General features: G+C 38.0%; 2 long non-coding RNA genes across 3 annotated transcripts in view; one reads left to right on the top strand and one right to left on the bottom strand.

The window, feature by feature from the left end:
* Nucleotides 1–2,795, bottom strand: part of LINC01611 (long intergenic non-protein coding RNA 1611) — a 53,902-nt gene extending 51,107 nt beyond the window's left edge. Inside the window, exon 1 of the long non-coding RNA NR_132100.1 lies at nt 2,693–2,795. This is a non-coding gene — a long non-coding RNA (long intergenic non-protein coding RNA 1611). The remainder of the gene's footprint in view (nt 1–2,692) is intronic.
* Nucleotides 1–26,391, top strand: part of LOC107986620 (uncharacterized) — a 175,866-nt gene that overhangs the window by 119,343 nt on the left and 30,132 nt on the right. The gene's annotated exons all lie outside the window — the stretch shown is intronic.

Here is a 26,391-nt window from a genome sequence, read left to right on the forward strand (position 1 = left end):
GTCCAGAAAAAAATCTGAGAAAGTCCTAAACTCTCAGCTCTGTCTGACCTGAGGTCTGAGGTATAATATAAGCAAGAAGTGAAAGGCAAAGCAGAGTTGTGACTGCCTGCCTGAATCTTGAAACACACACTGAACCCTTTGCCAAAGGATAGAAGATTTATTGATTCTAGATCCTTAAAGATTTAGGGAAATTTTTGTCCAATCACTCATTGACCAATAGCCTGAGTGGGGGCTTCACTGGCCACACACCAAAGGGAGTATAGACTTTACAGAATGACTTCAGGAAATTGACTAGATAGACAGAAGCAACAACAATAAACAGCAGTAAGAAAAAACTCTCAGGGAAAAGGAGATAAGATTTCTTGTGTTTCAACATTATATTATTTTAAATGTTCAGTTTTCAACCAAAAACTACAAGTGCAAGAAAACAAGCAAGAATGGCAAATACTTGTAAAGAAGCAGTAAATAGAAACTTTCTCCAAGAAGCTCAGATATTGGACTTAGTAGGCAAAAATTTTAAATCAAGCATCTTAAATATGTTCAAGAATCAAAGGAAACTGTTGAAAGAATAAAAAGAAAGTAAGCAAATTGATGTCTCACTAAATAGAGAATAATAATAAATAGAAAGAAATGAAAATAAATAAAGTAGAAATGGTGACATTGAAAAGAACAGTAATTCAAATAAAAAACTTGTCTGAGAAGCATATGTGAACTGCCAAAATAATCAATGAACTTATAGATAGGTCCATTGTGATTATCAAGTCTGAATAACAGAAAGAATTAAAAATGAAAATTAAGAGAGTGATGGTGAGGCATTGAACAGCATCTGTGTGACAATGCTGAGCATACTAAACACATCATGGGAATTCCAGAATGTAAGCAGAGAGATGAAGAGGAGGAAGAATGAGAAAATAATGGTAGAACCCTCCACCCTCAAAATTTGATGACAAATACTAATCTACACATCCAAGAAGCTCAATGAATTCCAAGTAGGATAAATTCAAAAAGATCAATACCTGGCTACATCCTAATTAAACTTTTAAAAGCCAAAGACAGAGTGATTCTTGAAAACAGCAAGAGAGAAATATATCCTCATGTATAGGGAATCCTCAATAAGATTAATAGGTGATTTCTTACCAGAAATAATGGGGGTCAGAATGGAGTGTGATGACTTATTCAAACTGTTGAATGAAAAAGACTGTCAACCAAGAATTTTATATCCCTCAAAGATATCTTTCCAAAAAGGAAGGAAAAATTAAGACATTCAAGAGAAACAAACAACAAACAAAAGCTAAGAAAAATCACTGCTAACAGGTTTGACTGACAAGTAATACTAAAAGGAGTCCTTCAAGCTGATATAAAAGGACTATGGAGAGTTACTTAAATCCACATGAAGAAATAAAGAACAGCAAAAATGGTAACTACATAGACAAATATAAATAACAACATAAATGTATTTTTAAAAATGTGTAAACTTATTTTTCTCCTATCTGATTTAAGAGACAACTGCAAAAACCAATAATTATAAATCTGTATAGCTGGATGCCTTACATATAAAGATGTTATTTTTATAAATATAATAGCAACAGAAAGTGGAGAAGGCAAAATAGGAGAGATTACATAAAGCCAGTTTTGAATATTATTGAAATTACATTGTTATTAATTTGAACTAGATTTTTGGGTGATATTAATCACTAGGGCAACTACCAAGAAAATAAAAATATAGCAAAAGAATGACAAGAAAATAAAAATGATAAATTAGAAAATATCTATTTAAGACAAAGAAACCATTAATGGAGACAGAGGAACAAAACAGACACAAAACATATGTAGAAGACAAATTGCATATGGCAGATGTAAAGTCTACCTTATCATTCATTATATTGAATGTAAATTAATGCTTTAATAATAAAGCAGAGATTGGTGGAATAAATAAAAATTATGACCTAACTCTGTGCTATCTATAAAAGATATGCCTTAGATTCAAAGACGCAAATAGGTTGAAAGCAAAAGCATAGAAACAGATATACCATGCAAACAGTAACCAATAGAAACAAAACAGACTTTGAAACAAAAATTGTTACTAAAGTCATAAAGGACATTTTATAATGATACAAGAGATGATCCATCAAGAAGATATAATAATTACAAACAAATATGTGTCTAACAGCAGAGCCCCCAATTTTTAAAGCAAAAACAGAATTTAAGAGAGAAATAGACAACTCACAATAACAGTTGGAGACTTCAATGCCCCACTTTCAATAATAGATAAAACAATTTAACAGATCAGCAAGAAAATACAAGCCTTGAACAACACTATAAATGAAGGAGACATAACAGTCATCTAATAAATACTAAATAGCAGAATACAAATTTTTTCTCAAGTGCACATGGAACATTCTTAAGGTTATATCATATGTTAGGTCATAAAACAAGTCTTATTAATCTAAAAGGATTGAAATTATAAAAGTATGTTCTCTGACCACATGGAATGAAATTAGAAATCAATAATAGAAGAAAATTTGGAAATTCAAAAATATGTGTAAACAACACACTTTCTTAAGCAATACAAATTTATTATCTAACAGTTCTGAAGGTCAGAAGTTTGAAATTAGTGTCACTGGGCTAAAATCAAGGTGTCACCAAGGGTGCTTTCTTTCTGAAAGCTCTAAAAGGAAATCCATTTTCTTACCTTTTAGAGCTTCTGTACACTATTCACAATTCTTGGCTGGTCCCTTCTGTCTCAAAGTGAACAGTGACTGGTCAAGTTTTACTCACACTGTGTCATCCTGCCTCTGAAACAACATACTTTTAAATAACTAATAAGTCAAAGAAGAAATTATAAGAGAATTCAGAAACTACCTTGAGATGAATTAAAATGAAAACAAAACATACAAAACTTGTGGGATGCAGCTAAAACAGTGACCTATTAAAGAGAAATCTGTAGCTGTAAATCTTTATATCAAAAAAGAGAATAGATTTGTAGTTCTCCTTGAAGAGGTCCTTCACATCCCTTGTAAGTTGGATTCCTAGGTATTTTATTCTCTTTGAAGCAATTGTGAATGGGAGTTCACTCATGATTTGGCTCTCTGTCTGTTATTGGTGTATAAGAATGCTTGTGATTTTTGCACATTGATTTTGTATCCTCAGACTATGCTGAAGTTGCCTATCAGCTTAAGGAGATTTTGGGCTGAGACGATGGGGTTTTCTAGATATACAATCATGTCATCTGCAAACAGGGACAATATGACTTCCTCTTTTCCTAACTGAATACCCTTTATTTCCTTCTCCTGCCTGATTGCCCTGGCCAGAACTTCCAACACTATGTTGAATAGGAGTGGTGAGAGAGGGCATCCCTGTCTTGTGCCAGTTTTCAAAGGGAATGCTTCCAGTTTTTGCCCATTCAGTATGATATTGGCTGTGGGATTGTCATAGATAGCTCTTATTATTCTGAGATACGTCCCATCAATACCTAATTTATTGAGAGTTTTTAGCATGAAGGGTTGTTGAATTTTGTCAAAGTCCTTTTCTGCATCTATTGAGATAATCATGTGGTTTTTGTCTTTGGTTCTGTTTATATGCTGGATTACATTTATTGATTTGCATATGTCCACCCAGCCTTGCATCCCAGGGATGAAGCCCACTTGATCATGGTGGATAAGCTTTCTCAAGGAGAACTACAAACCACTGCTCAATGAAATAAAAGAGGATACAAACAAATGGAAGAACATTCCTTACTCATGGGAAGGAAGAATCAATATCGTGAAAATGGCCATACTGCCCAAGGTAATTTATAGATTCAATGCCATCCCCATCAAGCTACCAATGACTTTCTTCACAGAATTGGAAAAAACTACTTTAAATTTCATATGGAATCAAAAAAGAGCCCGCATTGCCAAGTCAATCCTAAGCCCAAAGAACAAAGCTGGAGGCATCATGCTACCTGACTTAAAACTATACTACAAGGCTACAGTAACCAAAACAGGATGGTACTGGTACCAAAACAGAGATATAGACCAATGGAACAGAACAGAGCCCTCAGAAGTAATGCCACACATCTACAACTATCTGATCTTTGACAAACCTGACAAAAACAAGCAACGGGGAAAGGATTCCCTATTTAATAAATGGTGCTGGGAAAATTGGCTAGACATATGTAGAAAGCTGAAACTGGATCCCTTCCTTACACCTTATACAAAAATTAATTCAAGATGGATTAAAGACTTAAATGTTAGACCTAAGACCATAACAACCCTAGAAGAAAAGCTAGGCAATACCATTCAGGACATAGGAATGGGCAAGGACTTCATGTCTAAAACACCAAAAGCAATGGCAACAAAAGCCAAAATTGACAAATGAGATCTGATTAAACTAAAGAGCTTCTTCACAGCAAAAGAAACTACCATCAGAATGAACAGGCAACCTACAGAATGGGAGAAAATTTTTGCAATCTACCCATCTGACAAAGGGCTAATATCCAGAATTTACAAAGAACTGAAACAAATTTATAGGAAAAAATCAAACAACCCCACCAAAAAGTGGGCAAAGGATATGAATAGATACTTCTCAAAAGAAGACATTTATGCCACCAACAGACACATGAAAAAATGCTCATCATCACTGGCCATCAGAGAAATGCAAATCAAAATCACAGTGAGATACCATCTCACACCAGTTAGAATGGCGATCATTAAAAAGTCAGGAAACAACAGGTGCTGGAGAGGACGTGGAGAAATAGGAACACTTTTACATTGTTGGTGGGATGGTAAACTAGTTCAACCATTGTGGAAGTCAGTATGGCAATTCCTCAGGGATCTAGAACTAGAATTACCATTTGACCCAGCCATCCCATTACTGAGTATATACCCAAAGGATTATAAATCATGCTGCTATAAAGACACATGTACACGTATGTTTATTGCGGCACTATTCACAATAGCAAAGACTTGGAACCAACCCAAATGTCCAACAATGATAGACTGGATTAAGAAAAGGTGGCACATATACACCATGGAATACTATGCAGCCATAAAAAAGGATGAGTTCATGTCCTTTGTAGGGACATGGATAAAGCTGGAAACCATCATTCTCAGAAACTATAGCAAGGACAAAAAACCAAACACCGCGTGTTCTCACTCATAGGTGGGAACTGAACAATGAGAACACATGGACACAGGAAGGGGAACATCACACACCGGGGCCTGTTGTGGGGTGGGGGGAGAGTGGAGGGATAGCATTAGGAGGTATACCTGATGCTAAATGACGAGTTAATGGGTGCAGCACACCAACATGTCACATGTATACATATGTAACAAACCTGCACATTGTGCACATGTACCCTAAAACTTAAAGTATAATAAAAAAAAGGAGAATAGATTTTAATTTATGACCTAACCTTCTACCTTCAAAAATTAAAATATGAAGAACAACTAAATCCAAAAGAAGAAATAGGAAAAAAATGACAAAGATTTGACAGAAATAAAGAATTGAAAAACAACAGAAAACTAATGGAACAAAAAGTTGGTTCTTTGAAATTACTAACAGAACTGATTGAACTTTAGCTACAATGACCAAGAAGAAAGAGAGACAATTCTAATTATTAAAATCATAAACAACAGAGGGAACATTACTACCCACTTTATAGAAATAAAAAGAATTATAAGGGAATAAAATGAATAACTATATATTTACAAATTACATAGCTTTGATGAAATGGATAAATTTCTAGAAATACATACATTGCTGAAGCTGACTGAAAAAGAAGTAGAAAATCTGAAGACATATAACAAGCTAATAGATTCAATTAGTAGAAGTAACTCTTTCCAAAAAGAAAATAACTCCATTGGTGAATTCCACCATTTAACAAAAAATTAACATCAACTTTTCACAAAGTGTTCCAAAAAACAGAAGAGGAGGGAACACTTTCCAACACATTGTCTGAGGCCAGTATTATCTTAAAACCAAAACAAGATAAAGACATCACAAGAAAAAAAAGGTGGAAGTGGGGGCAAAACAACCAAAAGACCAATATTTCTTGTGAAAATAAGACACAAAAATCTTCAACTTAGTACTAGCAAGCTATATCCAATAACATATGAAAAAGATTATACAACTATGACCAGGTGGAATTTATCTCAGGAATGTAAGATTTGCTTAAAATTTGAAAATCAAAATATACTGCACCATATTAATAAAATAAAATGCCAAACCACGTGGTCATCTTAATAGTTGCAGAAAATGCATTTTTAAATTCCAACACCATTTCAAGATAAACACTTTCAACAAACTAGGAATAGAAAAGAACTTCCTCATCTTGATAAAGGGCTTCTATGAAGAAATAATATTAATATCACACTTCATCATAAAAGATGAAACGTAATTTCTCTAAGATCAGAAATAAGATGAATATGTCCACTTTTGCCTCTTCCATTCAATATTATACAAGAGATTTCAGCCAGGGAAATTCAGAAAGAAAAAGAAAAAAAGGCATCAAGATTGAAAAGGAATCATGATGGTAGATGGGAGGCAGGACTGAATGGCAGCTTTGACTCAGATGGACAGAGCAGCATGTGGAGGCTTGCATTGTGAATTTTAGCTGCAGATTGACTGCAGGAACAAACCAGCAATCTCGAGAGGATCCACAGACCCTCTGAAGGAAGCAGACTGCTCCTGCAGGACCTGGGAGACACCCCAAATACTGTGAGAGCCCCAGCTGCAGAAGTGGGAAAGGGAGAGCCTCTTCTCCCAAGCACACACCCCCACTGGAAGAACTGAAGTTCTGCTTCCAGGAGAAGTTTCCTACCTTACATGGAGCTGAGTCAATTTAGAGAGCCGAGTAAAATACAGGGGTAGAGGAAGCAGCAGAAAGGCCCTGGGATCTCGCTGGGTCCCCAAGCAGGCCATTCCTGCCTGGCATCACAGGGATCCATCCGGAGGTTGGCTAGAGGAGCTTGAGGTGGAAAACCAAAGGGAGAAAGTAATCTCCAGCTGAACTTTATAGCAATTTGAATGGGAGGAGAAGCCTCCTGGCCAGAACTCAGGGGAGGATGTGAATCCAGTGTGCAGACTCCACAGGTAGGGGAAGAACTGAGCCCTTTTCTTTTGCAGCTGGGAGGTGGGTAGCCTGGGGCAAGTTCTCAAGGCCAGCTTGCCCACCACCTGGAAACAGACTTGGGGCTATTGGGGGGACACGATAGGAACTTCAGTTTGTGTGGGAGCTGGGTGAGGCCTGTGACTGCCAGCTTTCCCTCACTTCCCTGACAACCTGTGTGACTCAGCAGAGGCAGCCATAATCCTCCTAGGTACACAACACCATTGATCTGGGAACCTCACCCCCAGCCCCCACAGCATCCACAGCAAGACCCACCCAAGTAGAATCTGAGCTCAGACACACCTAACCCTTTTCCCACCTGATGGTCCTTCCCTATTCACCCTATTAGTGAAAGACAAAGGGCATATAATCTTGAGAGTTCCAGGGCCCCACCCACTGCTGGTTTCTCTCCATACTACCATAGCTGATCCTCTCTGGAAAGTGCCACCTCCCAGCAGGAGGCCAACCAGCACAAAAATTGAACATTAAATCACCAAAGCTAAAAATTCTTATGGAGTCCATTGTACCCCCCTGCCACCTCCACCAGAACAGGTACTGATATCCACAGCTGACAGACCCATAGACAGTTCACATGACTTTGTGCAGAGAACCCCCAGTACTAGTCTGGGGCTGGGTAGACTTGCTGGAAGAGAGACAACAATTACTGCAGTTTGGCCCACAGGAAGCCACATCCATAGGAAAAGGGGGAGAGAACTACATCAAGGGAACATCCTGTGGGACAAAAGAATATGAACAACAGCCTTCAGCCCTAGAACCCCCTCTGACAGAGCCTACGCAAATGAGAAGAAACCAGAAAACCAACTCTGGTAATATGACAGAACAAGGCTCCTTAACACCCCCGAAAATCACACTATTTCACCAGCAATGATTCCAAACCAAGAAGAAATCCCTGATTTACCTGAAAAAGGATTGAGGAGGTTAGCTATTAAGCTAATCAGGGAGGCACCAGAGAAAGGTAAAGCCCAATGCAAGGAAATCCAAAAAACGATACAAGAAGTGAAGGGAGAAATATTCAAGGAAATGGCTTAAAGAAAAAACAATAAGAAATTCAGGAAACATTGGCCACACTTACAGAAATGCAAAATGCTCTGGAAAGTCTCAGCAATAGAATTAAACAAGTAGAAGAAATAAATTCAGAACTCGAAGACAAGGTCTTTGAATTAACCCAATCCAACAAAGATGAAGAAAAAAGCATAGGAAAATATGAACAAAGCCTCCAAGAAGTCTGGGATTATGTTAAATGACCAAACTTAAGAATAATCAGTGTTCCTGAGGAAGAAGAAAATTCTGAAAGCTTGGAAAATATACTGGGGGGAATAATCAAGGAAAACTTCCCTGGCCTTGCTAGAGACTTAGACATCCAAATACAGAAGCACAAAACACCTAGGAAATTCATCACAAAAAGATAATCACCTAGGCACACTGTCATCAGGTTATCCAAAGTTAAGATGAAGGAAAGAATCTTAAAAGCTGTGAGACAGAAGCACCAGGTAACCTATAAAGGAAAACCTATCAGATTAACAGCAGATTTCTCAGCAGAAACCCTAAAAGCTAGAAGGGATTTGGGCCCTATCTTCAGCCTCCTCAAACAAACCAATTATCAGCCAAGAATTTTGTATCCAGCAAAACTAAGCATCATGTATGAAGGAAAGATACAGTCTTTTTCAGGTGAACAAATGCTGAGAGAATTAACCACTACCAAGCCACCACTCTAAGAACTGCTAAAAGGAGCTCTAAATCTTGAAACAAATCCTGGAAACACATCAAAACATAACCTCTTTAAAGCATAAATCACACAGGACTTATAAAACAAAAATACAAGTTAAAAAGCAAAAACAAACAAAAAACAAAGTATGCAGGCAACAAATAGCATGGTGAATGCAATGGTACCTCACATCTCAATACTAACATTAATGTAAATGGCCTAACTGCTCCACTTAAAAGATACAGAACCACAGAATGTATAAGAACTCACCAGCCAACCATCTGCTGCCTTCAGGAGACTCACCTAACACATAAGGACTCACATAAACTTAAAATAAAGGGGTGGAAAAAAGCATTTCATGCAAAAGGATACCAAAAGCAAGCAGGGGTAGCTATTCTTATATCGTACAAAACAAACTTCAAAGCAACAGCAGTTAGATAAAGAGGGATATTATATAATGGTAAAATGCTTTGTCCAACAGGAAAATATCACAATCTTAGACATATATGCACCTAACACTGGAGCTCCCAAATTTATAAAATAATTACTAATAGACCTAATAAATGAGATAGACAACAACACAGTAATAGTGGGGACTTCAATCCTCCACTGACAGCATTAGACAGGTCATCAAGGCAGAAAGTCAACAAACAAAAAATGGATTTAAACAATGGATGTAAACAAATGGACTTAACAGATATTTACAGAACATTTCATCCAACAACCTTAGAATACACATTCTATTCAACAATGCATGGAGCTTTCTCCAAGATAGACAATAGGATGGGCCATAAAATGAGCCTCAATAAATTTAAGAAAATTGAAATTATATCAAGCACTCTCTCACACCACAGTGGAATAAAACTGGAAATTAACTCCAAAAAGAACCTTCGACACTATGCAAATACATGGAAATTAAATAACCTGCTCCTGAATGAGCATTGGGTCAAAAACAAAATCAAAATGGAAATTAAAAAATTCTTCAAAATAAGTGGCAAAGATGACATAACCTATCAAAACCTCTGGAATACAGCAAAGGTGGTACTAAGAGGAAAGTTCATATCCCTAAACCCCTACATCAAAAAGACTGAAAGAGCACAACCTGACATTCTAAGATTACACCTCAAGGAACTAGAGAAACAAGAACAAACCAAATACAAACTCAGCAGAAGAAAGGAAATGACAAAGATCAGAGCAGAACTAAATGAAGTTGCAACAACAAAAAACAGTACAAAAGATAAATGAAATAGAAAGCTGGTTCTTTGAAAAGATAAATACAATTGATAGACCATTAGCAAGATTAACCAAGAAAAGAGAGAGAAAATCTGAACAACCTCATTAGGAAATGAAACAGGAGATATTATTACTGACACCACTGAGATACAAAGATCATTCAAGGCTACTATGAACACCTTTATGCATATAAACTAGAAAACCTAGAAGACATGGATAAATTCATGGAAAAATACAACCCTCCTTTGTTGTATTAAGGAATACAATTATTCCTTAAATCAGGAATAATTAGATACCATGAGCAGGCCAATAATGAGCAGCAAGACTGAAATGGTAATTTAAAAATTACCAACAAAAATGTCCAGGACTAGACGGATCCACAGCAGAATTCTACCAGACATTCGAGGAAGAATTAGTACCAATCCTTTTGACACTATTCTACCAGAGAGAGAGAAGGAACTCTCCATAATTCATTCTATGAAACCAGCATCACCCTAATACCAAAACCAGGAAAGGACATAACCAAAAAAGAAAACTACAGATCAATATCCTTGATGAACATAGATGCTAAAATTCTTAACAAACTACTAGCTAACAAAATCCAACAACATATCAAAAAGACAATACACCATGATCAAGTGGGTTTCATATTAGGGATGCAAGAATGGTTTAACATACGCAAGTCAATAAATGTGACACCACACAAACAGAGTTAAAAACAAAAATCACATGATCATCTCAATAGATGCAGAAAAAACATTTCACAAAATCCAGCATCCTTTTATGATTAAAACTCTCAGCAAAATCGTCAGGAAAGGGACATACCTCAATGTAATAAAAGCCATCTATGGCAAACCCACAGCCAACATAATACTGAATGAGGAAAATTTGAAAGCCTTCCCTCTGATACTGAACTGGGACAAGACAAGGATGCCCACTGTCACCACTCCTCTTCAACATGGTACTGGCAGTCCTAGCCAGAGCAATTAGACAAGAGAAAGAAATCAAGGGCATCCAAATCAGTAAAGAGGAAGTCACGCTGTCACTGTTTGCTGATGATATAATCATGTACCTTGAAAACCCTAAAGACTCCTCCAGAAAGCTCCTAGAACTGATGAAAGAATTCAGCAAAGTTTCCAGATACAAGATTAATGTACAAAAATCAGTGGCTCCTCTATACACCAACAGCAACCAAGTGGACAATCAAATCAATAACTCAACCCCTTTTACAATAGCTGTGAGAAAAAAATACTTAGCATATACCTAACCAAGGAGTTGAAAGATGTCGACAAGGAAAACTACAAAACACTGCTGAAAGAAATCATAGATGACACAAACAAATGGAAGCACATCCCATGCTCATAGTTGGGTAGAATGAATATTGTGAAAATGACCATACTGCCAAAAGCAATCTACAAATTCAATGCAATCCCCATCAAAATACCACCATCCTTCTTCACAGAATTAGAAAAAACAATTCTAAAATTCATAAGGAACCAAAAAAGAGCCCGCATAGCCAAATCAAGACTAAGCAAAAAGAACAAATCTGGAGGCATCATACTACTTGGTTTCAAACTATACTATAAGGTCACAGTCACCAAAACAGCGTGGTACTGGTATAAAAATAGGCACATAGACCAATGGAACAGCATAGAGAACCCAGAAATAAACCCAAATACTTACAGCCAACTGATCTTTGACAAAGCTGACAAAAACATAAAGTGGGGAAAGGACACCCTTTTCAACAAACGGTGTTGGCATAATTGACTAGCCACATGTAGGAGAATGAAACTGCGATCCTCATGTTACCTTATACAAAAATCAACTCAAGATGCATTAAGGACTTAAGTCTAAGACATGAAACTGTAAAAATTCTAGAAGATAATATTGAAAAAACCCTTTTAGACTTTGGCTTCGGCAAGGATTTCATGACCAAGAACTCAAAAGCAAATGCAATAAAAACAAAGATAAATAGTTGGGACCTAATTAAACTAAAAAGCTTTTGCACAGCAAAAGGAACAGTCAGCAGAGTAAACAGACAACCCATAGAGTGGGAGAAAATCTTCACAATCTGTACATCTGACAAAGGACTAATATCCAGAATCTACAATGAACGCAAACAAATCCGTAAGAAAAAAATGAAAAATGCCATCAAAAAGTGGGCTAAGGACATGAATAGACAATTCTCAAAAGAAGATACACAAATAGCCAACAAACATATGAAAAAAGGCTTAACATCACTAATGATCAGGGAAATGCAAATCAAAACCGCAATGCGATACTGCCTTACTTGTGCAAGAATGACCATAATAAAAAAAAAATCAAAGAACAGTAGATGTTGGCGTGGATGTGATGATCAAGGAACACTTCTACACTATTGGTGGGAATGTAAACTAGTGTAGCCACTATGGAAAACAGTGTGGAGATTCCTTAAAGAACTAAAAGTTCTTTGATCCAGAAATCCCACTACTGGATATCTACCCAGAGGAAAAGAAGTCATTACACAAAAGAGATACTTGCACAAGCATGTTTATAGCGGCATAATTCATAATTGCAAAATTGTGGAACCAATCCAAATGCTCATCAGTCAACGAGTAGATGAAGAAACTGTGGTGTGTATATATACACACACACACACATATATAGACACACACATATATATATATATATATGATGAAACACTACTCAGCCATAAAAATGAATGAATTCACAGCATTTGCAGTGACTTGGATGAGACTGGAGACTATTATTCCAAGTGAAGTAACTCAGGAATGGAAAACCAAATATCGTATGTTCTCACTGATATGTGGGAGCTAAGCTATGAGGACACAAAGGCATTAGAATGATACAATGGACTTTGGGGACTTGGGGGTTGGGCAGGCAAGGGATAAAAGGCTACATATATGGTGCAGTGTATACTGCTCAGGTAATGGGTGCACCAAAATCTCACAAATCACCACTAAATAACTTATTCATGTAACCAAATACTACCTGTACCCCAATAACTTATGGAAAAATTTAAAAAAAAGAAAGAGAAAAAAACATTAAAAAGGAAGAAATATAACTATTTTCTATTCACAGACGATATGACCTTGTATATGGAAAATTCTAACGACTCATTATAATAACCTATTAATAAATGAGATCACTATGTTTTCAGGACACAAGATTAATATACAAAAAGTTATTGTATTTCAATATGCTAGCAACAAACAATCTGAAAATGAAACTAAGAAAATAACCCAATTTACAATAGCATCACAAAGAAAAAATACTTAGGAATAAGTTTGATAAAAGTAACGTAAGACTTTATACTAAAAGCGATAAAACACTGTTGAAATTAAAGATGACCTAAACAAATGGAAAGACATTTCATGTTCATGGATCAGAAAAATCAATATTGTTGAGATCATGACATTCACCAAGTTGATCTACAGATTCAAATCAGTTCCTATCAAAATCTCAGTTGACTTTATGTAGAAACTGACAAGATGATCCTAAAATTCAGATGGAAATGCAAGAGACCCAGGATAGCCAAAACAATCTTTAAAAAGAGAACAAAGTTGGAAGAAATACACTTCCAGAAATTAAAAAAAAAGTATGATACTGGAATGAGGATAAACATATAGATCAATACAACAGAACTTAATGTCCAGAATTAAACACTGACATTTATGATCAATTGATTTTCATAAAGGGTGACAAGATAATTCAATGGAATTCTCTCAGTGAGGACGATTCCAAGATTAGTCTTTTAAACAAATATCACTGAAACAGCTAAATATTCACATGTAAAAGAAAGAATTTGGACCACTACCTCAAACCTACACAAAATTAATCTAAAATAAACCTATTTTAACCTAAAATAGATCTAATAATAAGGTCTATTAATATAAGACTATAAGACATAAAACTATAAAACTCAAAAGAATATACAAAAGTAAATCTTTCTAATACTGGATTATGCAATGGTTTCTTAGACATTACACCAAAAGCACAAGCAATACAGGAAAAAAATAATAGTTTACCAAAATTCAAATCTTTTGTGCTGCTAATTATACAATCAGGATAGAGAAATAATGATCAATGGAAGAAGAGAAAATATTTTCAAATTATATATTTGATAAAGAATTTGTATTCAAAATGTATCAGAATTCTTACAACTCAACAGAAATTACCCAATTAAAATATAAGCAAAGAACTGGAACTGACGTTTCTCAAAAAAAATACACATTAATGGATAATAAGCACATGAAAATCTGCTCCACATCTTCAATCATTAGGGAAATGAAAATCAAAATTATAAATGTGATATCACTTCACATAAATTAGGATTACTATAATTAAATAGACTATAACTTGCATTGAAGAGGGAACAGAAAAATGGGAATCCTTACATATTACTGGTGGATTGTAAAATGGTGAAGCATCTTTGGAAAAAACACTGGCAGTTTAAAAAGTTAAATAGTAGTCCAGAAATAGTCCCACATAAATATAGTCAACTAATCTTTGGCAAAGAACCAAAGACAATACAATGGAGAAAAGATAATTTTTTCAACAAATAGTACTGAAACAATTGGACATCCACAGGTAAAATAATGACTCTACACACAGATCTTACACCATTCACAACAAGTAACTAAAAATAGATTACAGATCTAAATGTAAAACTCAAAAGTATAAAACTCCCAGAAGTTAGCAAAAGAGAAAATCTAGATGACCTTGGGTTTCATGATGACTTTTTAGATATAACACTAAACATCCATGACAAAAAGAATTGATATCTTGCACTTGATTAAAATTAAAAATTTATGCCCTGGGAAGCATACTGTGAAGAGATTAAAAAGACAAATCACAGATTGGGAGAAAATATCTGACAAATGACTGTTATCCAAAATATATGAATAATTCTTAAAAGTCAACAATAAGAAAACAAACAACTCAATTTAATATGGGCCAAAGACCTTAAGAGACATCTCATCAAAGAAGATACACAATGACAAATAAGTATGTAAAAAGATGCCCCACATCATAAGTCATCAGAAAAATGCAACTTAAAACAACAATGAGATACTACTACACACCTATTAGAATGGTCAAAATCTATAACATTGACACCACCAAATGCTGGCAAGGAACAGGAATTATCTTGTTAATTGTTTGTAAGGCAAAATGGTACAGCCACTGTGAAGGACAGTCTGGCACTTTCTTACAAAATTAAACATGTTGTTAACAAAAAATCTAGCAACTGTGCTTCTTAGAATTTATGTGAAGAACTTGAAAACTTATGTCCACACAAAAACCTGCACAAGGATGTTTATAGTAGCATCATTCTTAATTGCCAAAACTTGAAAGCAACCAAAATGTACTTCAACAGGTAAATGGATAAACTGTAGTGCATCCAGACAATAGAATATTGTTTAGTGCTGAAAAGAAATGAGCTATCAAGCCATGGGAAACACATAGAAGAAGCTTAAATGCATATTACTAAGTGATAGAAGCCACTTCTGAAAAGGTTACATGCTTTATGATTCCAGGTGTATAATATTCTGGAAAATATTTAGAGACAGTAAAAATATCAAAGATTGCCAGGGATAAAGAGGGAGGAATGGGTGAATAGGGAGAGTATAGATGATTCTTCGGTCAGCAAAATTACTCTATGTGATATTATAATGGTAAATACATTTCATTATACATTTGTCTAAACCCAAAGAATGTACAACACCAAGAGTGAACCCTAATGTGAACAATGAATTCTGGATGATAATGATGTGTCATTGTAGGTTTACCAATTGTATAATAACAAATGTACCACTCTGATGGGGGATGTCAATAATGAGTGAGGCTGTGCATGTGTGGGTCCAGAGGGTATGTGGGAAATCTCTGTACCTTCAGCTCAATTTTGCTTTGAACCTAAAGTTACTCTAATAAATAAAGTCCATTTTTAAAAAAAAAAGTTAAACAGCATTATTATATAACTCAACAATTTCATTCCTAGGTATATACTCAAGAGAAAAGAAAACACATGTCCACACAAAAAGCTTGTACATGAATGCTCATAACGGTAGTATTCCAGACAGCCAAGATGTGGAAATAAATGAAATATCACTCAATTAATGGATGAGGTTTGGTAAATTCATACATTAGAATATTATTCAGCCATAAGAAAGTACTGATACATGCTACAAAAGTGATGTACCTTAGAAACATTAAGTGAAAGAAGCCAGACACAAAAGGCCACATATTGTATGATTCCATTTGTGTGATGCATCCAGAATAGCCATGTCCACAGAGAAAGAAAGATGTTTAGTACTTGCCAAACACTGGGTTATGGCAGTAGGAGTATGATAACTGCTAATAAGTACAGGGTTTCTGTATTAGTCTGTTCTCACACTGCTATAAAGAAATACCTAAGACTGGGAAATTTATAAAGGAAAGAGGTTTAATTGACTCACAGTTCTGCATGCCTGAAGAGGCCTCAGGAAACTTACAATCATGGCAGAAGGGGAAGCAGACATGTCCTTCTTCACATGGTGGCAGCAAGGAGAAGAATTGAGAACAGAGTGAAGGGGGAAGAGCTCCTTATAAAATCATCAGATCTCATGAGAACTCACTAACTATCATGACAACAGCAAGGGCAACTGCACTCATCATCCAATCACTTTCCACAATGTCCCTCTCCTAGCACATGGGGATTACAATTGAGATTACAATTCAAGATGAGATGTGGGTGGGGACATAGAGCCAGACCATAGCATCCCACCCCTGGCCCCTTGGAAATCTCATCTTTCTCACATTTTAAGACACAATTATGCCTTCCCAACAGTTCCCCAAACTCTTAACTCATTTCAGCATTAACCCAAAAGTGCAAGTCCAAAGTATCATCTGAGAAAAGACAAGTCCCTTCCACCTATGAGCCTGTAAAATCAAAAGTAAGTTAGTTACTTCCTAGATAAAATAGGGGTACAGACATTGGATAAATACACCCATTCCAAATGGGAGAAATTGGCCAAAACAAAGGGCCTACAGGTCCCATGCAAGTCTGATATTTAATGAAGCAGTAATTAAATCTTAAAGCTATGAAATAATCTCACTTGATTCCATGTCTCACATCCAGGGCATGCTAATGCAAGAGGTGGGCTCCCACAGCTTTGGGCAACTCCAGCCCTGTGGCTCTGCAGGGTACAGCCCCCTCCCAGCTGCTTTCACAGGCTGGTGTTGAGTGTCTGCAGCTTTTCCAGGCAAATGGTGCAAGCTGTTGGTGGATCTACCATTCTGGGGTCTGGAAGATAGTGGCCCTCTTCTCACAGCTCCACTAAGCAGTGCCCAGTAGGGACTCTGTGTGGGGGGCTCCAACCCCCTTGCAGTAAAGTTCTGCCTGGACTACCAGGCATTTCAATACATCCTCTGAAATCTAGGCAGAGGTTCCCAAACCTCAGTTTTTGATTTTTGTGCACCCACAGGCCCAACACCATGTATAAGCCTCCAAGGCTTGGGGCTTACACCCTCTGAAGCAACAGCTGCGCTGTACATTGGCCCCTTTTAGCCATGGCTAGGACACAGGGTACCAAGTCCTAAGCTTGAACAAAGCAGCAAGGTCCTGAGTCAGGCCCACAAAACTATTTTTTCCTCCTATGCCTCTGGGCCTGTGATGGGAGGGGCTGCTTTGATGACCTCTGACATGTGCTGAAGAGATTTTCCTCATTGTGCTGGCAATTAACATTTGATTCCTTGGTTACTTATGCAAATTTCTGCAGCCAGCAGGAATTTCTCCTCAGAAAATGGGTTTTTCTTTTCTATTGCATTGTCAGCCTGCAAGTTTTCCAAACTTTTATGCTCTGCTTCCTCTTGAATGCTTTGCCACTTAGAAATTTCTTCCACCACATACCCAAAGTCATCTCTCCCAAGTCCAAAGTTCCACAGATCTCTATGGCAGGGGCAAAATGCTGCCAGTCTCTTTGCTAAAGCATAGCAAGAGTCAGCTTTGCTCCAGTTCCCAAGAAGTTCCTCATCTCCATCTAAGACCACCTCAGACTGGACTTCATTGTCCATATCACTATCAGCATTTTGGTCAAAATCATTCAACAAGTCTCTAGGTAGTTCCAAACTTTGCCACAACTTCTGGTCTTCTCCTGAGCCTCCACACTGTTCCAATCTCTGCCTGTTACCCAGTTTCAAAGTTGCTTCCACATTTTTGGGTATCTTTATAGCTGTATCCCACTACCTCCTGGTACCAATTACTGTATTAGTCTGTTCTCACCCTGATATGAAGACATACCCCAAGACTGGGTAATTTATAAAGAAAAGATGTTTAATTGATTCACAGTTCCACATGGCTGAGGATGCCTCAGGAAACTTACAATCATGGCAGAAGGGGAAGCAAACATGTACTTCTTCACGTGGTGGCAGGGGAGAAAAGTACAGAGCAAAGGGGGATGAGCCCCTTATAAAACCATCACATCTCATGAGAACTCACTCACTATCATGAGAACAGCAAGGAGGATCCACCCCCACGGTCTAATCACCTCCCATGAGTTCCCTCCCCCATCACGTGGAGATTATAATTTGGATTACAATTTAAGATGAGATTTTGGTGAGGACACAGAGCCAGACCATATTAGTTTCTTTTTAGGGTGATGGAACATTCTTAAATGAGATAGTAATGATGGTGACATGACTCTGTGAACATGCTAACAAGCACTGAATTGTATACTTTAAAAGGGATAAATGAGAACTAAGAAAGTGCTTGGCACTGCCTGACAAATATTAAGTGCTTGCAAACTTTAGTTGTTGGTATTACCATTAATAGGAATAGATGATTATGTCATTAAGAATGGCAGAAAAATCTAAATTTTCTCTCTCTCTTTTTTTTTTTTTTTTTGAGACAGAGTCTCTGTCACCCAGACTGGAGTGCAATGGTGAGATATTGGCTCACTGCAACCTCTACCTCCTGGGTTCAAGCGATTCTCCTGCCTCAGCCTACCAAGTAGTTGGGATTACAGGCACCGACCACCATGCCTGGCTTATTTTTATATTTTTAGTAGAGATGGGGTTTCACCATGTTGGTCAGGCTGGTCTCGAACTCCTGACCTCAGGTGATCCACCTACCTCGGCCTCCCAAAGTGCTGGGATTACAGGTGTGAGCCACTGCATCCAGCCCTAAATTTTCTCTAGACGAGATAATTAAGAGTGTTTGACTGATAATGTGGGTCTCTGGAAGAGTAACCAGTTCCTGTGCCAAGTGGAACGAGAAGAAAAACATGATGTGCCACGCAGGCTATACTTGTCCAATGCTGATCCCAGCTTGCATTACACAGGTGAAGAAAAACTCATTGCTAAACAAATTAAACCCTAATTCTACACCCCTGGTGAAAGCCACAGAGAGTTGAACTTGTGAAAAGCAGCTTGATTACAAAGTAATGCCTTCTTTTCTGAAAATCTGTCGTGACTTTCAGTCAGGACTCATGGGGAAGACCCCTGATTTATTTCTCTTTCAAGAGCATCCATAACAGCCTGGCCCCTCAATGAACTCTGCTTTCAGCTGTCCTGAAGGGTGACGGCATGTCTCTCTGAGGTCTATCCACAGGGAAATTCCTCATGGGGTACACAGTCTAGATTTTAAATCAGAGCAGCTCAAACATACCATCTAAATTCAGTGCAAATTTCTCCAGCTACTTTCAGTACATTCCAAAGTTTAATACTATTTATTTATATTTAAAAAAGGCTTTTGTTTTTATTTAATATGACAGACAACAAGGACACTGCTGTGGAAGAAACTTCCATGTATATGTCTGAGGCTCCAGGAGTCCAGATGAATGTACTCAGAGAGTCAGTCCTCCTAAATTAGAGCAAAAGCTGAACAACCAGGCTGAAAAAATGGCCGTGTGTGTGTGTGTGTGTGTGTGTGTGTGTGTGTGTGTGCAAAGAAGGCGAAGAAGAAAATCTTGGCAGGAGAAAAATAGAAGGTAGGCCAGTCAGAAAGAGCTTCCTGAATGACTAGAGAGGAAAGAATCTGGATGGAGAAGCAGAAGCAGAAAAATTTAGGCTACTGGCAGTCATCTGCACAACAAGACTTCCCTCTGTTCTTCACATAATTGCTCTCCGCATGTAGGTAAAGTCACAGACATGGAGAAATCATTTTTCTGCATTCAGCACAACTCCCTTAAAGGTTTGTGACCACTGATGCTATTCCCAAGAAGGTCAAGGAAATTATGGGTGAAATCACTTTCCTCCAGCATCAGCTTCCTCAAGAAGGAAGTGCCAAAGTTTTTACTCTGGCAGAGAAACTCGTATTTCATAACATGGCCTTTATGCGGGAGTTTCTCTACCACTGTGATTATTAATATGTCTGTTTCATCTAAGGCTTAAAATTAGAACAACAGGCCTAATTAGGTTTGTTTACAATTCAGCATGTGTCAGCATGTGTAGGGCCCGAACAACACAGCATGTCCAACAGGAAGCGTGTGTGTGCAGGTCATCGCTGCTCTCCACCGAAATGGTCTCTCCGAGAGCGTCACCCATGGTGTGTTTGGACAGGAAAGCCCAGATAAATGAACACAGCATCAATGTTGCCAGTAATTCAGAAACGGAGATATCTGGAAGTGATAAAAACTGCAATTGATAAAAGCTTCTCTTGTTAAATTTAGGCCACACATACTCTACATAAAATATAGCACTTAGGAAATGATGTGTGTTGATAAAACCTGATGGAGTTGTTTTTCCAAATGTCTTCTCCCTGCTGGGAATTTCCCACTTCGGCAGGCTCTCTCGGGCCTCCCCAGTTGCTAGTCTCCTTCCATGACCTGACCTGGTGTTGTTTATATGGCTGTTTGCACATTTCTTAACAGCCTTTGCAAAGGGTCTTTAATGACTTTCACTCCTGGCAGCGCTTTGCTTCAGGCAGAGCTCCAAAGTCTGCCAGTGTTGTTGTGTTTATTTGTGCAGTGCCCTCCCCAGCTTCCCCTAACCCCCTCAGAGAGGGCCTGGAAAGCATGTTGCAGGTTAGATAGCTGTAGATGAGTTTTCAGACTTGGGCTGTAGCTGTTGGTAATGAAATATGGAAAGGCCATTTAAACAACTAGGAACTGTCCTCAGGTTCCCAGGCGGGCCCACTTAGAGTCCTGAACCTTAATATTTTAAGCCTGCTTGAAGAAGTAGCATTGTCAAGATCCCAACTCCAGTACTTACCAGTTGTGTGATGGAGAATAAGCTCACTATCTTTCTTGGGCTTTGGTTCCCTCATCTGCTAAATGAAGGGAGCAAAATAGATGACTGCCAAGGGCCAACCACCTCGAACAGGCTGAGCTCAGTGATTCCTACATAACCCTAAACAATGGGCTCACATTGGCTACACATTAGGAAAGATGGAAAATTTCCTTCTGCAGGTATCTTGAAGAATGACTAATATGATGGAAAAAGCATTGGACTCTGAGGCTAGATAGATATTTTAGAGTGTGAAGAAGATAATTAACAGTGAAATTATGTAATTCAAGCCATGAAAATGAAAATAAAATCTAGATTGTCCAGCATGATATTTTAACCTGGACTTCCCAGCTATCCCTTTCTACTTTGTGGAGATTATCGTAAAATATTGGGGAAGCCAAGAATTCACCATGAAACAAATGAGGCAGAGAAAGGCTAAGAAAGATATATTTGCATTCTACTTTTTCAAGAAAGACCAAGAATGTCTGAGTAGGCAGAGCAAGAATGGTAAAAAGAGGAGCCAGGGGTATGACAGGCCAGGTTCTATAAGAACATAACAGATGGGTGCTATAACTTCTGCAGCATTCTCACAGGACGACCAGGGCACTGCTGAAATCAACTGCATCCACACTAGCGAAATTCTGATACCAAAGGACACATCCTGCCTAGAAATAAAAATAAAGATATCAAAACAAGCATCATTTGTCCTTAAAGCAGGGTCAAAGTCTTCTGATTTTGAAGTAAGAGTAAGACATGTTGGAATCAGATGACATTTCAAAACACTGGTTATTGTGGGAAATGGATTTATGTATTTGAAAATTTCAGAACTGTTCAAAACAAACTAATGTAAATGTGAAAGTCTTTCCAGTCCACATAGCCATTGCTAGGGGAATATCTCCTCTGACATTGTATTTCTAAAATCCTCATGTTCTCACAATAGATTACCTTGGTGTAAATTTCTTAGAATGATGATTTCAAAGTTGCTAGTGACATTCTTTTCTCATGAACTTACATTCAGTTCCAAGCACATGTTTATTAAATGTCTACTGTTGTATTAAGCCTGGGGACACCAAAATGAAAAAGGTAGGAGTACTGTACATCTCTGTCTCCAAAAGCTTAAAGTTGAGAGACAGGGAATGCTAGATAAGTTTGCAGTGAAACAAAACTATAAGAGAGTAAATGTATGCATGAGTTTTTTTCCTAGATGAACCTCTTTTTATATAAATTAGGAAACACATGATCAAGCACTCTGAATGCTGTGCCTTACCACATATACTTGGGCTCTTGGTCCACCTGAGAAATGAAAGTAGTTTCCTTTAAACATTTTTCTGGCTGGTGTTTTTTACAGTGTTACCCAGGTTGATGATTCTTCAGGTAATTGGGTCTTACAGTTCCTTAAACTCCTTTCTTCTAGTGATCTTGTCCCTACTCCACCTTAATCTCTGTGTCGTCACCAACCTTGTCATTACCAAAAACTGCAACCCCTTCCTAACTTCTCCCCAGAAGGATTTATCACTGTTACAGATCATTGACTGCTGCATATATTCCAGGTGTCCCCTTTCTTTTTCCAATTGGGAGTTTCATTGCAGGTTAATTGGCTTTGCCTTGCCATTGCATGTTGGAGGTATATTTGTGACTGGATGGGGTAGGGGTGACAGATACCATGTCTTTTTTTTTTCAGTGGCCTATGGTCTGCAAGGGGCCACATTCAGCTCTGATCAAGAGGACTGCACAGTGTACTGTAGGAGTGGAAGAAAAAGTAGAATGGATATGTATTTTAAACTTTGCTAATAAAGTAAGCTAGAAAAAGATCAGTTGTTCGGAGAAAAATAAAAATAAACCAGGAAATGGGGACTAGTTATGGGGGTGATGGAGTTGCTAAGTGACTAGAGAAGACTTTACTGAAATCAGGTAAAAAACATTAGAGAAAATACTGATATAGAATAATTCATGAGGCCTAACATTTGAAGAATGGGAGTTTCAGTAGAGGATTGACAAAATGGAGAAAAACTTGAGGTCACTCTCTTTATCTGTTTTCCCAGACCTTTACTTTTTCAAGGAAAAAATAATTTCTACATAACAACCATGTCAAAATTTCTCCCTTCTCAAGTCTATTCACTGTCACTCCAATGTGAAAGCTTTTATATTCTTTTAAAATATTTCAACTTCCCTAAAAAACTACAATTGCCTTATCAGTCAGCAAGAAGTCAAGATCATAAGATTTAAAGACCATCCCACTGACCTAGGGAGGAAGGTTCAGTGAAGCTTTTATCTTTAAGTTGAAGCTACTCCCTCTCTAGACAATTATTTGTAGATCTATATTTTATACCCAACATCAGCAAAAGCAGTGAACCTTTAAGTGGCACCAAATTAAAGAATGAATGTCTCAGTGTGTGTCTCACTGCACTTAAAGAGCCAGAAGCAATCTGTAAGATCAAAATCACCCCCACTAGTTCCTTAATTCTGAGTGTATGAAATCATATGGCAGCTATTTACCGTGTAGTGTAGTCAGAAAAAAAATCAAATTTTAGTTATATTATTTAAAAGGCCCTGGGCAGAAAATTTTCATAGATCTATTTCATTGAAAGCAATATCACCCCTGGTACAATTGAAGGAATATGAATTAGGATAAAGAGATCTAAGCCTGGCTTATTCTACCCTTATCTTCTGGATGGATAACTTAAAGCTTGTTTTCTTTCCATCATCTTTAAAATAATAATAGTGAATTTTAAGTCAAATGAGATCATTCATATAAAAGTCCTTTGAAAAGCAGAAAACACCATTCCTAGTTTAACTGCCTTGGTTCATTAGGGATAATTATTATTAATGAACTAATTTGTAAGTACAAGGCATAGCTGAGCATGCATTATTCTCATTCCATCCCTGGAGCGGCTCTAAGAGGTAGGCTTTGTGATTTTGTGCATTTTACAGATGAAGCCACTGAGGATTGGTGAGTGTTAGGAAGATGTCCCAAGGTTTTGAGAGGTCTCGGTGGGTTAGCGTCATGACATCTGATTCCAAAGTCTCTGATCTGATCCATTTCCTATCAGGGTCTGCAGGAGATTCAAGACGTGTCTCTTCTATCCTCTTTTGTTATTGCTGTGTTGTTGGTGTTAGTTATCAGTTAGTGTATTCACGTAATTTTCTTCAAGACTGATTGTACTAAGTAGCAGATACAAAGAGGCTGTCCTTTCCCTAAAGTGGCTTCTAGTTTAATGGCAGAAGCAATCAAGGATGCAGACAATTAGAGTGTAGCCTGGTAAGTGTTTTGACCAGGGTTGACTTCCTGGGCCTGTGACCTATGCAGTCCTGCTGTACCCAGTATTTGGAAGGGCCCCATGCTTGATATAATGCTGTATTACTGCTACTTTGAAATTCTTGATAATTTTGAACAAGGAAACCCACCTTTTCATTTTGCTCTGGGTCCCACAAATTGCATAGCAGCTCCTGGTCTTGACACAAATGGAAGTGGTATAATATGGGGATAGAGCAGGGAAAGGGTTAGAAAGATGGTCTTAGAAGAAGTGCTGCCCAAGCTTAATCTTGAAACATAAGAAGGAGTTAGCCAGAAAAAAAAAAAAAGTTATTTGGAGCAGGGAGCTCCACCTCATTGCAGGCTGAGGGCCCTGCAGGTGCCCAACAGAGCTTGGTCTGGGGAGGACAACTGAGGAAACTGGCTAGCCTCAGGGGTTTTCCTTACAGGAGAAAGGACTTGGGAAGCTGTGGTGGGTTGGGGAATGTGAGGAACCTCTTCTGCACAGCCCACTGGGTAATGACGGATGTCAAATCTTTAGCACTTCTCCCCCTGCAGGAGCCACACTGTGTTCTAAGGCAGAAGATGTGATGGTGACACGGGGATGCTGGTCAGGTCCTTGGGCAACAGTATTAAAATCTAGAATGAAGGAAACAAGGGTTCGAGTTGCCTGCAACCCCTGATTGGAGTACAAGAAAGGCACCGAGCTTATCCTGAGAGCTAGCATTCCACTTTAAGCCAGAGATGGAACACTAACTACCCAGCAGGTATCGAGTAATAACATTAGATAACCATTTTGTCATGTTTACTAAGGACCAGACACTAACTCGTAAGTACTAACTTGTACTAAACCATTTAGCTGTCCCAACTTCTCTATGAGATACTTACTGTTGAAAATAACAACTTCCTGAATAATGAGAACACGTGGACACAGGGAAGGGAACATTGCACACTGAGGCCTGTTGGGGGTTGGGGGGTAAGGGGAGGGAGAGCATTAGGACAAATACCTAATGCATGCAGGGCTTAAAACCTAGATGATGGGCCAGGTGTGGTGGCTCACGCCTGTAATCCCAGAACTTTGGGAGGCCAAGGTGGGCAAATCACCTGAGGTCAGGAGTTCGAGGCCAGCCTGGCCTACATGGTGAAACCTTGTCTCTATTAAAAATAAAAAACTTAGCCAGGCATGGTGGCAGGCGCCTGTAATCCCAGCTACTTGGGAGGCTGAGGCAGGAAAATCACTTGAACCCAGGTGGTGGAGGTTGCAGTGAGCTGAGATTGCACTCCAGCCTAGATGACAGAATGAGACTCTGTCTCAAAAAGAAAACAAAACAAAACAAAACAAAACAAACAAACAAACAAAAAAAACCATGCTGGGCGCGGTGACTCATGCCTGTAATCCCAGCACTTTGGAAGGCCAAGGAGGTGGATCATCTGAGGTCAGGAGTTCAAGACCAGCCTGGCGAACTTAGTGAAACCCCGTCTCTACTAAAAACACAAAAATTAGCCAGGTGTAGTGGTGGGCACCTGTAATCCCAGCTACTCAGGAGGCTGAGGCAGGAGAATTGCTTGAACCTGGGAGGCGGAGGTTGCAGTGAGCCGAGATCGTGCCATTGCACTCCAGCCTGAATGACAAGAGTGAAACTCCATCTCAAAAAAATAAAAGAAAAAGGAAAACAAAACAAAACAAAACAAAACAAAAAAACTAGATGGCTTGATAGGTGTAGCAAACAACCTTGGCATATGTATACCTATGTAACAAACCTGCATGTATCCCTGAACATAAAAGTAAAATAAAAAAGACACAGCCTAGTCAAAACTAAAAAAACAAAAAACAAACAAACAAAACAAACAAACAAAAAGACAAAGTAAAGAAAATAACAACTTCCT

This window comes from Homo sapiens, chromosome 6 (genome assembly GCF_000001405.40).
Source record: "Homo sapiens chromosome 6, GRCh38.p14 Primary Assembly".
Lineage (NCBI taxonomy): Eukaryota > Metazoa > Chordata > Mammalia > Primates > Hominidae > Homo > Homo sapiens.